General features: G+C 36.8%; 1 annotated feature.

Moving 5' to 3' along the window:
• Positions 12986-13570: an enhancer, noted in NCBI's record as "NANOG-H3K27ac hESC enhancer chr4:164238175-164238759 (GRCh37/hg19 assembly coordinates)". NCBI's record gives its function as "activates a minimal SCP1, AML or CMV promoter by ChIP-STARR-seq in naive and primed H9 embryonic stem cells {active_cell/tissue: H9 hESC(naive and primed)}" and the evidence as "EXISTENCE:reporter gene assay evidence [ECO:0000049][PMID:30033119]".

Genomic DNA, 13906 nt, shown 5'->3' on the forward strand with positions numbered 1-13906 from the left:
CAGGAAAGTTGTCATTTTTTGTTTGGTTTGGTTGGACCATGACCCACTAATCAGAATAAAAAGATGCAACTCCTGGTGAAAAGGAAAAATCTAGAGGTGCTAGAAGGAACACCTCTATTTGTTATTCTGTTCTGTCCTATTTCCCTAGATGGTGAAGGGTGAAGGGTTCTGTAAGTGTCAAATAAGATAAGGGGCTAGTTTCCATTTACATTGTTGTGATAGCTCTATTTTCTGTGTGCTCATTCATAATGTTCTTATTTAATGTGTCAATATGTTTTAGTCCTGACATAGCGTGCTCTTGGTTTTATGACCAAATCTGTAGCCATGCTGTCCATAGTTTTGTTTTTCATATTTTAATAAGGATCCATTAGTTTATCCTTTCATCAGGCTCTTCTTGTGAAAAGATTCATGTAAGAATCAGCCAGAGCTAAATAAACAACCCCCTAGCTACCCAAGTCAATAAAAAAAGAAAGCACCAATGTCTTGGAAAGGAAGATATGTCATCCATAGAAATATTAATAATAAACTCTGAACACAGGAAGTGGTGGGAGTGTAATTCATACTAAAATAAACATACTGATTAATTAAAATCTCAGTCACCATGCCCTGCCTGCAGGCACTTCATTGTTAGTGTTACCAGGAGCAAAGCTGTATTGTTATTCTCTGATTTCTAGAGATTATCATATGGGATGTCTTATTATAATTTGAAAAGCAGCTCCAGAATCACCAACTGCTCCACACCACATGAAAATGAAAAAACACACAAACACATTTGATGCGTACTATTATATATATATAATATATAATATATATATATACCATTTCAGCAGTAGACCGAACTTATTTCATTTATCCCATTTATCCTTGTTATTTCTTAACACTAAATATTTACTATACTCAAATTTGATAGTAATAAACGTTTCACAGGAGGTTTTCTGCTTAAGCAGACTTTTTAAAACCTGTTCAGTATTGTGAGATATAACACAAATACAAAAAAAGTATAAAGCATGGTTGAAGAATACAATGAAAAGTATAAAGAGAACACCCAATATGAGAAATAAAATATTGCTACATTCAAAGAGGTTTTCTATATCACTGTGTGTCTCTTCCAGATTCTATTCCTCCTTCCTTCCCACTTGAGACAGCAATTGCCTTGCTTTTACAGCAACCATTTTCTCTATAGTTTCCCAACTATGTGCACATCCCTAGTAATGTAGTTGAATTTTGCATTTAAAAAAATTAATTTGGGCTGGGTGCGGTGGCTCACGCCTGTTATCCCAGCACTTTGGGAGGCTGAGGCGGGCGGATCAAAAGGTCAGGAGATCGAGACCATCCTGGCTAACACGGTGAAACCCCGTCTCTACTAAAAATACAAAAAAATTAGCCGGGCGTGGTGGCGGGCGCCTGTAGTCCCAGCTACTCCGGAGGCTGAGGCAGGAGAATGGTGTGAACCCAGGAGGCGGAGCTTGCAGTGAGCTGAGATCGCGCCACTGCACTCCAGCCTGGGCGACAGAGCGAGATTCCGTCTCAAAACAAACAAACAAACAAAAAACAAAAAAGCAAAAAAATTAATTTGAGTGGATACATGCAAAATGTATTATTATATGTTCTGGTTTCATTTATTCAATATCATATTGGAAGATTGCAGAATACGGCCAGGGTTTATTTTATTTTATTGCTATAAAAGTTCCAATCTATGAATACATGATATTACTTAACCATTCTACTGTCTTTGGACATTTGGATTGTTTCCAGTTCGGGATAATTAGAAGAAATGATGCTATAGACATTCTTTTGCATGTCGTATATTCTGATCCACATAGGAGGAGATTGTATGAGTTTTATTCCAGGGTTTGAAATTGTAGGATGATAAGACATGCATATTTTCAGTTTTACTAGCTAATTCCAAACTGTTTTCCAAAATGGCTGTACCAATTTACACTCCTACTAGCAGTGTATGCAACTCATACTGTTCCCATCTTTCTCAGTCTTATGGCTCTGCAAGGGTGTCATATTGCAGTTTTAATGTGCCTTTTCCTGATTACTAATAATGTTAAACACCTCTTATATGTTTCACAACCATTTGAATTTCCTTTCTTCTGAAGTTCCTGTTCAAATATTTTGTCAATTTTTCTACTGGATTTTCTTCCTTTTTCTTATTGTTTGTTCTAAAGTCTCTGTACTAGTCCTTTGTTATTTATTTAACAAACTTTTTTTCAATTCTGTGACTTGTATTTTTACTCTATTGATGATGTCTTTTGATAAAGGAGTTCTTATTTTAATGTAGTCAAATTTAATAATTTATTTCTTAAATGTGCTTTTTTTGTGTCTCATTTAAGAAATATTTTCCTAACCCCAAGGTTATGATGATAGTCTTCTATAGTATCTTCTAAAATCGTTCTAATTTTATCTTTTACATGTAAGTTTACATCCCACTTGGAGCTACTGTTTTTATATGGTCTAAGGCTAGAGAATAATTTTTTTCTTTCTTAAATCTAGAACCACTTTTTCATATCATTAACTATAGTGAGAAGACCATCCCTCATTCATTTTTCTGTAGAGTAACCTCTCCCATAACAATAATGGCAATAATAATAATAGCAATGACAATAATGATATCAAATATGGTGCTCATTGTATATAGTCAAATATACTAATTTAATAAAAACGTGGCTATCTCTGGGCTCTCTCTTTTGTTCCACTGGTGTATTTGTCTGTGTGTTTATTTATTTCAGCACCAATGTTTTAATTGTAATAACTTTATCTGTGCTTAAGATGTTTTAAGTGATTATAATATTACAACATATTGAGGGTATTATAAGATAGTAAAAAACTAGATATCTCTTTGGTAAGTTTCATAATTGTTAATGATCAACTTGATGATCAGAATCCATGTAAACCAATAATTCTTTTTTTTTTTTTTTTTTCTTTGAGATGGTGTCTCGCTCTGTCGCCAGGCTGGAGTGCAGTGGCGCGAGCTCGGCTCACTGCAACCTCTGCCTCCCGGGTTCAAGCGATTCTCCTGCCTCAGCGTCAGGAGTAGCTGGGACTACAGGCATGGGCCACCACACCCAGCTAATTTTTGTATTTTTATTAGAGACGGGGTTTCACCATGTTGGCCAGGATGGTCTCAATCTCTTGACCTCGTGATCCACCTGCCTCGGCCTCCCAAAGTGCTGGGATTACAGGCATGAGCCACTGCACCTGGCCAATGATTCATTTTTAAAAGATGGTAAATGATTCTTAATGATCCAACTCTAGTTTGAGAAGATAATATGTAATAAAGAAGCAAATGAGGAAGCAGAGTATCTTAACCAGGGGTGCACATTAGAATAAATTGAGGAGGCTTTCAAAGTTCAAATGTTTTACTAGTCTCAAAGAAGTATAAGATACAGGATAGATGTGTATTTTGAGAAAGCTCCATAGGTGATTCCAATGATATTCTTGTTGATAATTACTCCAAAGAGTAACTTTCTGACAATGTTAATTTTAAGTGCCAAATCTACCATACATTAGTTTATGACTTCGAAGATGTTACAGAAACGTTTAGTTTTCTCAACTGTAAAATAGGGATGAATGACACCTACCTGACAGGGTTTATGAAGACTAGCAGGCATCACTAAATCTTATTTCTCATTCTCCTTTAATCTGGGTTTTCTGGCCTGTAAAATTGAACTAATAATTACTTAGTACAAAGAGCGGCCGAAAATATCTAAATAAAGCAAACTATATGGAAGCAGTTAATGAATTGCAAAATATTATTTAAATATAAGTTATTTTCCTCTAAAGAGCTATCAGGTCAAGGAATACCTGGGAACAAGAGATACTGAATTACTTAGTACAAGGAATGAGTGCAAACTTTCAGGGACTTAGTGTCAGTTTCTATTAGAAACTGAAAATGGTGTCCTGTGCGCCTTCTGAGGCACCATCTTCTTGTCAGTGTGGCCATTTATCAGGTAATATAAATGGCAGTGGGAGATATGTGCATGTTCTGTTCCTTTCCTTTCCTTTCCTTGCCTTTCCTTTCCTGTTCTCTTTTCTTCTCTTCTCTTCACTTCTCTTGTTTTCTTTCTTTTCTTTTCTTTTGAGACAGGATCTCACTCTGTCATCCAGGCTGGAGTGCAGTGGCATGATCTTACCTCACTGCAACCTTCACCTCCCAGGCTCAAGAGATCCTCCCACCTCAGCCTTCTGAGTAGCTAAGACTACAGGTGCATGCTACCATGCACAGCCAATTTATTTTTATTTTTGTTTTTGTTTTTGTTTTTATTTTTTGTAGAGATGGGTTTCACCATGTTGCCCAGGCTGGTCTCGAACTCCTGGGCTCAAGTGATCTGCTTGTCTTGGCCTCCCAAAGTGCTGAGATTACAGGTGTGAGCCACTGAGCCAGGCCGTGATATTCCTTTAGCCCTAATATCAAGTCAACCATTCTATTGGTCGCCCCAGTGCAACTAACTTATAGTGTCTGCCCACTTGAACTTCACCTAGTTTACTTGGTTATTATTTAGCAAACAAAGTGGCTTGGACAGCAAATTGGAATGGAAAAGACTTGTTGAGCAAAGCTGGGTGCAAATCAAGATTATTAGAAAAAATAACCTGCTTCGTACTCACACAGATCCCCAAGAGAGCCTCTTCATTCTGACTAATAAACTGGCGTCTGTTTTCAAGTCTGATTGTTTGAATAAAAAAGAATTTCTGCTTGAAGAAAATGAAAGTGTACTTGGGTATCACATGTACCTCACCTTCAAATATCTAACTTACACAATAGACACCCATAATAATACATCTTCCTCAATCAACCTAAATATATTAAACTGGAGTTTCCAGCACTGGCCTAGGTGTTATTCAGGTGCCAATAGCTGTATTCAAGGAAGAAACAGTCCTTAAATAACTGAACTTAGAACCAAAAAGCTAAAAAAAAAGCATGATTCTTAAATGTGGTAATTATTTTTCTAGCACTATGAATAGTAGCCAACATTTTGTTTACACTTATCTTTGATTAATGTTAGTTCCTTCCTTAGCTAAAATCTTTCTAGTTTTATTGTGTTTAAAAATAACTTTTGATGTGAATGCATAAATTATGTATAACATAGGCAAACAAAAAACAAGCAAAAACTCTAATAATTTTGTTGTATGTTATATGAACTGGACAGATTAAGGTTCTCTATGATTTTTTCTGTCAAGTAATTGTAATTCTACCTTGTTTTCGAGGTTTGGTTCAGGTGTTTTCAAGAAGCTTCCTTCAGTCCTGTCTGAGCTAAGAACCTCTGAGAATGCTGTGAATATACATTTAGGGTTATGTTCACCATATGCTACATGCGAAATGATATATTTCTGTATATTTTCCCCACTGAATTTAGTGTCTGTCCAAAGTAAGGACAGTCTCATTTTACTGCCATCATCTTCCGCAGAACTTGGCACCAGCTGGTTTACACCTTAAATGTCAGTTGAATGAACCTGAACTGATACTACCTCTTGCTGTAATCCATTCTTCTCTCATATAAACTGAGAGTGAGATGAACATATTCTACTAAATAAAGATGGGATGAGAATTCTTAACTTCATACTTTGCTGTTTTTCCCTTACCGACCCTCCAGCCAAGAAAACTGTGTTAAACTGTTCAGAAACCCAGCAAATCTGGCTGGAAAGAGAACATTATGTCCAAGCCACAGGAAGCATGAAAAGGAAATAAAAGAATTTCTCTGGAAGTATAAAGTTAGAAGTGTTAAGATGCCTTGGAAGCCAGGAACAATTGAAATATTTTCAAAGCACAAAGTTTCTGATTTCCTCAAAGGCAAAATATTTGAGTAAGACTTAACTATATTCTAGCTTCTAATATATTAGCTTATTTTATTTTCACCCTGTATTTGGCTGACTTAGGTGCAGACATTCTAGTAATAATGAGATATTTGGAGTATTAGCATGGCTATTTAATTATAATTTGTATTTTCTCTCAAGATGTGACTTTTTAAAGCTTTTATACAGTGCTTAATCATATTAGGTACATGTTTTCCCCTAAAGAAATACCCACATAAAAAATTTGCAGAAAAACTTGCACTTTTTTCCAAAAGTATTTTGTGTTCTTTATTTAGTGTTAAATATAGGCTAACCACAGTATCTTGAGATTGATTATTTTAAAAATAGACTAGTATTATGGATGTGCTCAAGCAGAAAGCTACGGATGCAATTTTAAAAATTCCATTTGGCTGTCATTGGAAAGCGTAATACTCTAGTTTTTAAGTAGACATGCTTTGGAGTCACCCAGATGTGGGATTAAATTCAACTTCTGCAGATTAATAAGTGAGACTTTGGGGATTCTATGTAATCTCTTTGAGCTGCATCTTTCTCACCTATAAAATAATAACACTGTATACATATGGCATGTTTTGAGGTTTTAAATTCTCAATTGGTAGCTATTCATATACCCTCTATGAAATAGTTTTTTTTTTTTTTAAACTATTCACTTGATGTCAAGGGATTTGTCTACTTTCCAATTGGGTATTTTCTAATTTCCAACCTATTATAGGAAAGACAGATCACTGTCTTCATTTTACTAACTGTCTTACTAACTGCCATGTTTTCTATTTCCTTCTACCTCACCACAAACTCCTGGTCTCTATGATTCCATGCATAGTATAATCATTGAATGTGAATTTCACCTTTCATATAGAGTCTGGCTAATTTGCTTTCCTCTACTTCATTCATATCCATATACATTTATGAACATCATGTTCTCTTTCCAGTTGCAAAATGTCCTTTATATGGCCTTTAAATGTATTGTCCATTTTGAAAATTAGGTGCACTTTCCCAGGCAGCTCCTCCACACCCTCCGCTCCTTCCAGCCTGCCTCAGTCTTACATATGTTCAGCCAGACTTGGTTCTCTTTGACCACAATTTCACCTCCATTTTCCCTAGTCTGTCCTTGTATAAGTCACAGAGTTCTTCTTATTTTGCTATACCACGCCTTTATATGTTTATTATTTATTGATTTTTGAGACAGAGTCTCGCTCTGTGACCCGGGCTGGAATGCAGTGGTGCGATCTAGGCTCACTGCAACTTCTGCCTCCTGGGTTCAAGTGATTGTTGTGCCTCAGCCTCCCGAGTAGCTGGGATTACAGGTGTGTGTTACCACGCCTGGCTAATTTTTGTATTTTTAGTAGATACAAGCTTTCACCATGTTGTCCAGGCTGGTCTCAAACTCCAGACCTCAAGTGATCTGCCTGCCTCAGCCTTCCAAAGTGCTGGGATTACAGGTGTAAGCCACCACACCCAGCCTTTGTCTTTATTTTTCAGGACACTTTCTCTTACATGATTTGTTGTAAGTAGAATATTTGGAATGAAGTTTGGAATGCTGTTTAATCTGTCCAAAACTGTTTCCTTATCTGTGAAATTAGGATAGAGAAGTGACTTTACAGATGTTTCATGAAGATCAAATGAGATGACATACATGAAATTTTCGGCATATAGTAGGTGCTCAAATTTTAGTAGTTTTCTGGCCTTCTGTACCTTTTTCTCCCCTGTAGAAATCATTGTGAAAATAAAATTCATTTTTTATGATAATTAAATGCCTCTTACGTAAGTTTTCCTCCTAGGAACTTATATTTTAAAATTAAATTATAAAAGGCAACCCAAAGAATAAGAGAAAATATGTGCAAAGCATACGTCTAATAAAAGACTATTATCCAAAATATATAAAGAACTCTTAGAACTCAAAAATATCAAAAAAATAACCCTATTGAAAATGGGCAAAGGACTTTAATAGATGTTTCCCCAAAGAAGATATACAAATGTTCATTAAGCATGTGAAACTATGCTCAATGACATTAGTCACTAGGGAGATGAAAATTAACATCATGCTGAGGTGATAAGCACTTCACACCCACAAGGATGAGCATAATCAAAATGACAGACAATAGTGGAGAAATTGGAACCCTCATGCATTGCTGGTAGGAATGTAAAATGTGCAGCTGCTTTGTAAAATGGTTTGGCAGTTCTTCAAAAATCTAAACATAGAGTTAGCAGACAACCTGGCAATTTCACTTCTAGGTATATATCCAAGAGAAAGGAAAACATATGTCCACAAAAAAAAAGTATGCAAGAAGGTTCATAGCACCATTATTCATAATAGCTGACAAAGTGACAACAATCCAAATGTCCATCAACATATGAAAGGTTAAACAAAATATGGTGCATCCATACATAGAAATATTATTTGTAATAAAAAAGGAATGAAATATTGATATATGTTACCACATGGATGAACCTTGTGAATATTATGCTACGCAAAGTGAGGTAAGTTACAAAAGATCACATATTATATTATTCCATTTATAGGAAATGTCTAGAATAGGCAAATGCGTAGAGACAAAAATAGGACTAGTGGTTGCCAGGAGGTGGAGGGGAAGAAGAATCAGAAGCCATTGCTAGTGGATATATTATTGTTTGTTGGTTTTTGTGAATAGATTTTTTTTTTTTTTACTTATTTTACTGTTTTTGATTTTTTTATTTTTTGTAGAAACAGGATCTCACTGTATTGCCCTGGCTGTTCTGAACTCCTGGCTTCAAGCTATCCTCCTGTCCCAACCTCCCAAAGTGCTGGGAGTACAGGCATGAGCCACCACACCTGGCCTAGACTATTTTTTAGTGCAGGTTTAGGTTCACAGCAAAATGAAGTGCAAAGTACAGAAATTTCCCATTTACCCCTTGCCACCCCCATACACACAGGTCTACCACTATGAAAATCCCACACCAGAGTGGAACATTTGTTACAATTGGTGAAACTACATTAACATATCATTATCACCCAAAGTCCATAGTATACATCACAGTTCACTCTTGGTGTTGTACATTCTATGAGTCTTGACAAATGTATAATGACATGTATCCACCATCATAGTATCTTACAGAGTAGTTTCACTGCCCTAAAAATACTCTGCACTCTGTCTATTTGTCCCTCATTCCCTTTGCCACTGGAAAACACTGAATTCTTTCCAGTTGCCATTATTTTGCTTTCTTCACAATGTCATATAGTTGGAATCATACAGTATAAAGCTTTTTCACATTGGCTTCTTTCATTTAGTAAAATGCATTTAAGGTTTCTTCACATCTTTTAATGGTTTGATAGTTCATTTCTTTTTAGCACTAAATAATATTCTATTGATATAGATATCACTATATCTATATCACTAAATAATATAGCACTAAATAATATAGCACTAAATAATATATCTATTGACATAGATATATCACTGTTTATCCATTCACCTTCTGAAGAACATCATGGTTGCTTCCAAGTTTTGGCAAGTAGGACTAAAGCTGCTATAAACATCCATGTGCAAGCTTTGTGTAGACATAAGTTTTTAACTCATTTGGGTAAATACCAAGGAGTGTGATTTTTGGATCATATGGTAAGAGTATGTTCAGTATTATAAGAATTTCCAAACTATCTTCCAATGTGATTGTACCCTTGTGAATTCCCACTAGAAATGAATGAGAGTTCCTTTTGCCCCCCATCCTTGCCAGCATTTGGTGTTGTTAGTCTTTTGGCCATTCTAATGATATGTGGTAGTATCTCTTTGTTATTTTAACTTTCAATTCTCTAATGACATATGATATTGAGCAACTTTTCATATGCTTATTTAACTTCTGTGCAACTTTTTTGGTGAAACATCTGTTCAAGTATTTTATACATTTTACATTGTGTTATTACTTTTCTTGTTGTTGAGTTTTCAAATTTCTTTATATATTTTTGATTACAGCCTCTTATCAGATATGTCTTTTTTAAAAAATTTATTTTAAGTCCTGGAATCCACGTGCAGAATGTGCGGGTTTGTTACATAGGTGAACATGTGCCATGGTGGTTTGCTGCACCTGTCAACCCATCACCTAGGTATTAAGCCCAACATGTATTAGCCATTTATCCTGATTCTCTTCCTCCCCTGACCCCCTGCCAGCAGGCCCTAGTGTGTGTTGTTCCCCTCCCTGTGTCCATGTGTTCTCATTGTTCAGCTCCCACTTATGAGTGAGAAGATACAGTGTTTGGATTTTTGTTCCTGTGTTAGTTTGCTGAGGATAATGGCTTCCAGCTCCATCCATGTCCCTGCAAAGGACATGATCTCATTCCTCTTTATGGCTATATAGTATTCCATGGTATGTGTGTACCACATTTTCTTTATTCAGGCTATGATTGATGGGCATTTGCGTTGATTCCATGTCTATGCTATTGTGAATAGTGTTGCAATAAACATACATGTGCATGTATCTTTATAATAGAATGATTTACATTCCTTTGGGTATATACCCAGTAATGGGATTGCTGGGTCAAATGGTATTTCAAAGTGGGCAAAGAACATGAACAGGAACTTCTCAAAAGAAGACATTTATGCAGCCAACAAACATATGAAAAAAAGCTCAGCATCACTGATCATTAGAGAAATGCAAATCAAAACCACAATGAGATACCACCTCATGCCAATCAGAATGGCAATTATTAAAAAGTCAAGAATCAACAGATCCTGGTGAGACTGTAGAGAAATAGAAACACTTTTACTCTGTTGGTGGGAATGTAAATTAGTTCAACCATTATAGAAGACAGTATGGCAATTCCTCAAGGATCTAGAACCAGATATGTCTTTTGAAAATATTTTCTCCTAGGTCTGTGGCTTCTCTTCTCATTCCCTCTTCGCATTTTTAACTTTTATTTTAGGTTCAGGGAGTACATGTGCAGGTTTGTTACATGGGTAAATTTCATGTCACTGATGCTTGATGTATGAATGATCCCATCACCTAGGTAGCGAATGTAGCATAAGTAGCCTTCCAACTCATGCCTCCTTCCCACCCTCCCCCATCAAGTAGTTCCCAGTGTCTGTTGTTCCCATCTTTGTGTCTATGTGTATTCAATGTTTAGCTTCCACTTGTAAGTGAGAACATGTGGTATTTGGTTTTCTATTCCTCTATTAGTTGGCTTTGCTGAGAGTTTTTATTATAAATGGATGGTAGATTTTTTTCAAATGTTTTTTCTGCATCCGTTAACATGATCATGTGATTTTTTTAGCCTGTTGATGTGATAAATTACATTAATTGATATTCAATTATACCCAGTTGATTGATGGTATTGTTGAGTTCAACTATGCCCTTACTGAATTTTTGCCTGCTGTATCTGTCCATTTCTAATCAAGGGATGTTGAAATCTTCAACTATAATAGTGGATTCATCTATTTCTCCTTGTAGTTAAATCAGTTTTTACCTCACATATTATGCTACTCTTTTGTTAGTCATTTAAATGTTAATGTTTTTATGTCTTCTTGGAGAACCGACATTTATCATTATATAATGGCCCATTTTATGTCTGATAACTTTCCTTCCTTTGAATTCTGTTCTGTCTGAAATTATCATAGCTACTCCTGCTTTACTTTGATTAGTATTAGCATTGTATATCATTCTCTATCCATGTACTTTTCATCTATGCATCTTTATATTTAAAATGGTTTCTTGTAGACAACAAATAGTTGGATCTTGTTTTTTGCCCACTCTAACAATCTCCATATTTTAACTGGTGCATTTAGATCATTGATGTTCAAAGTCATTCTTGATATTGTTGGATTAATATTTGTCATAATTGCTACCATTTTCAGCTTGTTGCCCTTATTCTTTGTTCCAATTTTTTCCACTTTTATTTGCCTTCGTGGTTTTAATTATTCATTTCGCATAATACCATTTTATCCTTTCTCAGTATGTCAGTTATGATGTTTTAATTTTTTTAGTGGGTTTTTAAAACTGTTTTTAGTATTGTAGTTTTTTTTTACTATTATAATATTTTTTCTAGAGTTTGTAATACACATTTACAACTAATCTAAGCCCACTTTCAGAAACACTATATCACTTGTATTAGTCCATTCCTGCATTGCTATAAAGAAATATCCAAGACTAGGTAATTTATAAAGAAAAGAGGTTTAATTGGGTCACAGTTTTGCACATTGTACAGGAAGCATAATGGCTTCTGCCTCTGGGGAAGCCTCAGGAGGCTTTTACACATGGCAGGAGGCAAAAGGGGAGTGATGCACTTCTTACATGGCAAGAGCAGGACTTGTGGGGGAAAAGTGCTCCACACTTTTAAACAACCAGATCTTCTAATAACTCATTCACTATCACAAGAAGAGCACCAAGAGGGTGGTGCTAAACCATTAATGAGAACGGCACCCACATGATCCAATCATCTCCTCCCAGGCCCCACCTCCAACACTGTGGATTACAATTCAAAATGAGATTTGAGTGGAGACACAGATTAAAACCATGTGATTCCACCCCTAGCACCTCCAAAATCTCATGTCCTTCTCACATTGCAAAATACAGTCATGCCTTCCCAACAGTCCCTCAAAGTCTTGACTTATTCTAGCATTAACTCAAAAGTCCAAAGTCCAAAGTCTCATCTAAGGCAAGGTTAGTTCCTTCCACCTATGAGCCTGTAAAATCAAAAACAAGTTAGCTACATCCAACATATGATGGGGTTATAGGCATTGGGTATACATTGCCATTCCAAAAGGGAGAAATTAGCCAAAAGAAAGGGGCTATAGGCCCCCAGCAAGTCCAAAACCCAGCAGAACATTTATTAAATATTAAAGCTCCAAAATAATCCCTTTTGACTCTATGTCTCACATCTAGGGCATATTGATGCAAAGAGGGGGCTCCCAAGGCCTTGGGCAGCTCTGCCCCTGTGTCTTTGCAGGATCCAGTCCCAGTGGCTGCTCTCAAAGACTGATGTTGAGTGTCTGCAGTTTTTCCAGGCACAGGGTGCAAGCTGCTGGGGGATCTACCATTCTGGGATCTGGAGAATAGTGGCCTCTTTCTCACAGGTCCACTAGGCAGTGCCCCAGTGGGGACTCTGTGTAGGGGCTCCAACCCCACATTTCCCCTCTGGACTGCACTAATAGAGGTTCTCCATGAGGGCTCTGCCCCTGCAGCAGGCTTCTGCTTGGACATCCAGGCATTTCCATCCATCCTCTCAAATCTAGGTAGAGGCTTCCAAGCCTCAACTCTTCTTACATTTTGCGCACCTGCAGGCTTAATGCCACATGAAAGCAGCCAAGACTTATGGCTTACATCTTCTGAAGAAGTGGTCCAAGCTATACATGGGCCCCTTTGAGCCACAGCTGGAGCTGGAGCAGCTGGAATGCAGAAAGCAGTGTCTAGAGTTGGCGCAGGGCAGTGGGGTCCTGGCTCTGGCCCACAAAACCATTGTCTTCCTAAGACTCTGGGTCTATGATGGGAGGGGCTACTGTGAAGCTCTCTGAAATGTCTTAGAGGCCTTTTCCCTATTGTCTTGCATATTAGCACTTGCCTTCCTTTTAGTTATGCAAATTTATGCAGCTTGCTTGAATTCCTCTTCTGAAAATGGGCTTTCCTTTTCTACCAGATGACTAAGCTGCAAATTTTCCAAACTTTTAGACTCTGCTTCCCCTTTAAATATAAGTTCCAGTTTCATGTCATTTCTTTGCTCATGCATATGAGCTTAGGCTGTTAGAAGCAGCCAGGCCACATCTTAAATACTTTGCTACTTAGAAATTTCTTGTGCCAGATACCCTAAATCATTATTCTTAAGTTTAAAGTTTCACAGATCCCTAGAACAGAAGCACAAGTTCTTTGCTAAAGCATAACCAAAGGGAGCTTTGTTCCACTTCCCAATAAGTTCCTCATTTCCATCTGAGACCTCCTCAGCCTGGACTTCACTGTCTATATCACTATCAGCATTTTGATCACAATTTAACAAGTCTCTAGGAAGTTTCAAATTTCCCTTCATCTTCCTTTCTTCTTCTGAGCCCTCCACAGTCTTACAACCTCTGCCTGTTACCCAATTCCAAAGCTGCTTCCACATTTTCAGGTATCTTTATAGCAATGCCCCACTTCTCAG

The sequence above is a fragment of the Homo sapiens genome, chromosome 4 (assembly GCF_000001405.40).
Source record: "Homo sapiens chromosome 4, GRCh38.p14 Primary Assembly".
In the NCBI taxonomy this organism is placed as follows: domain Eukaryota; kingdom Metazoa; phylum Chordata; class Mammalia; order Primates; family Hominidae; genus Homo; species Homo sapiens.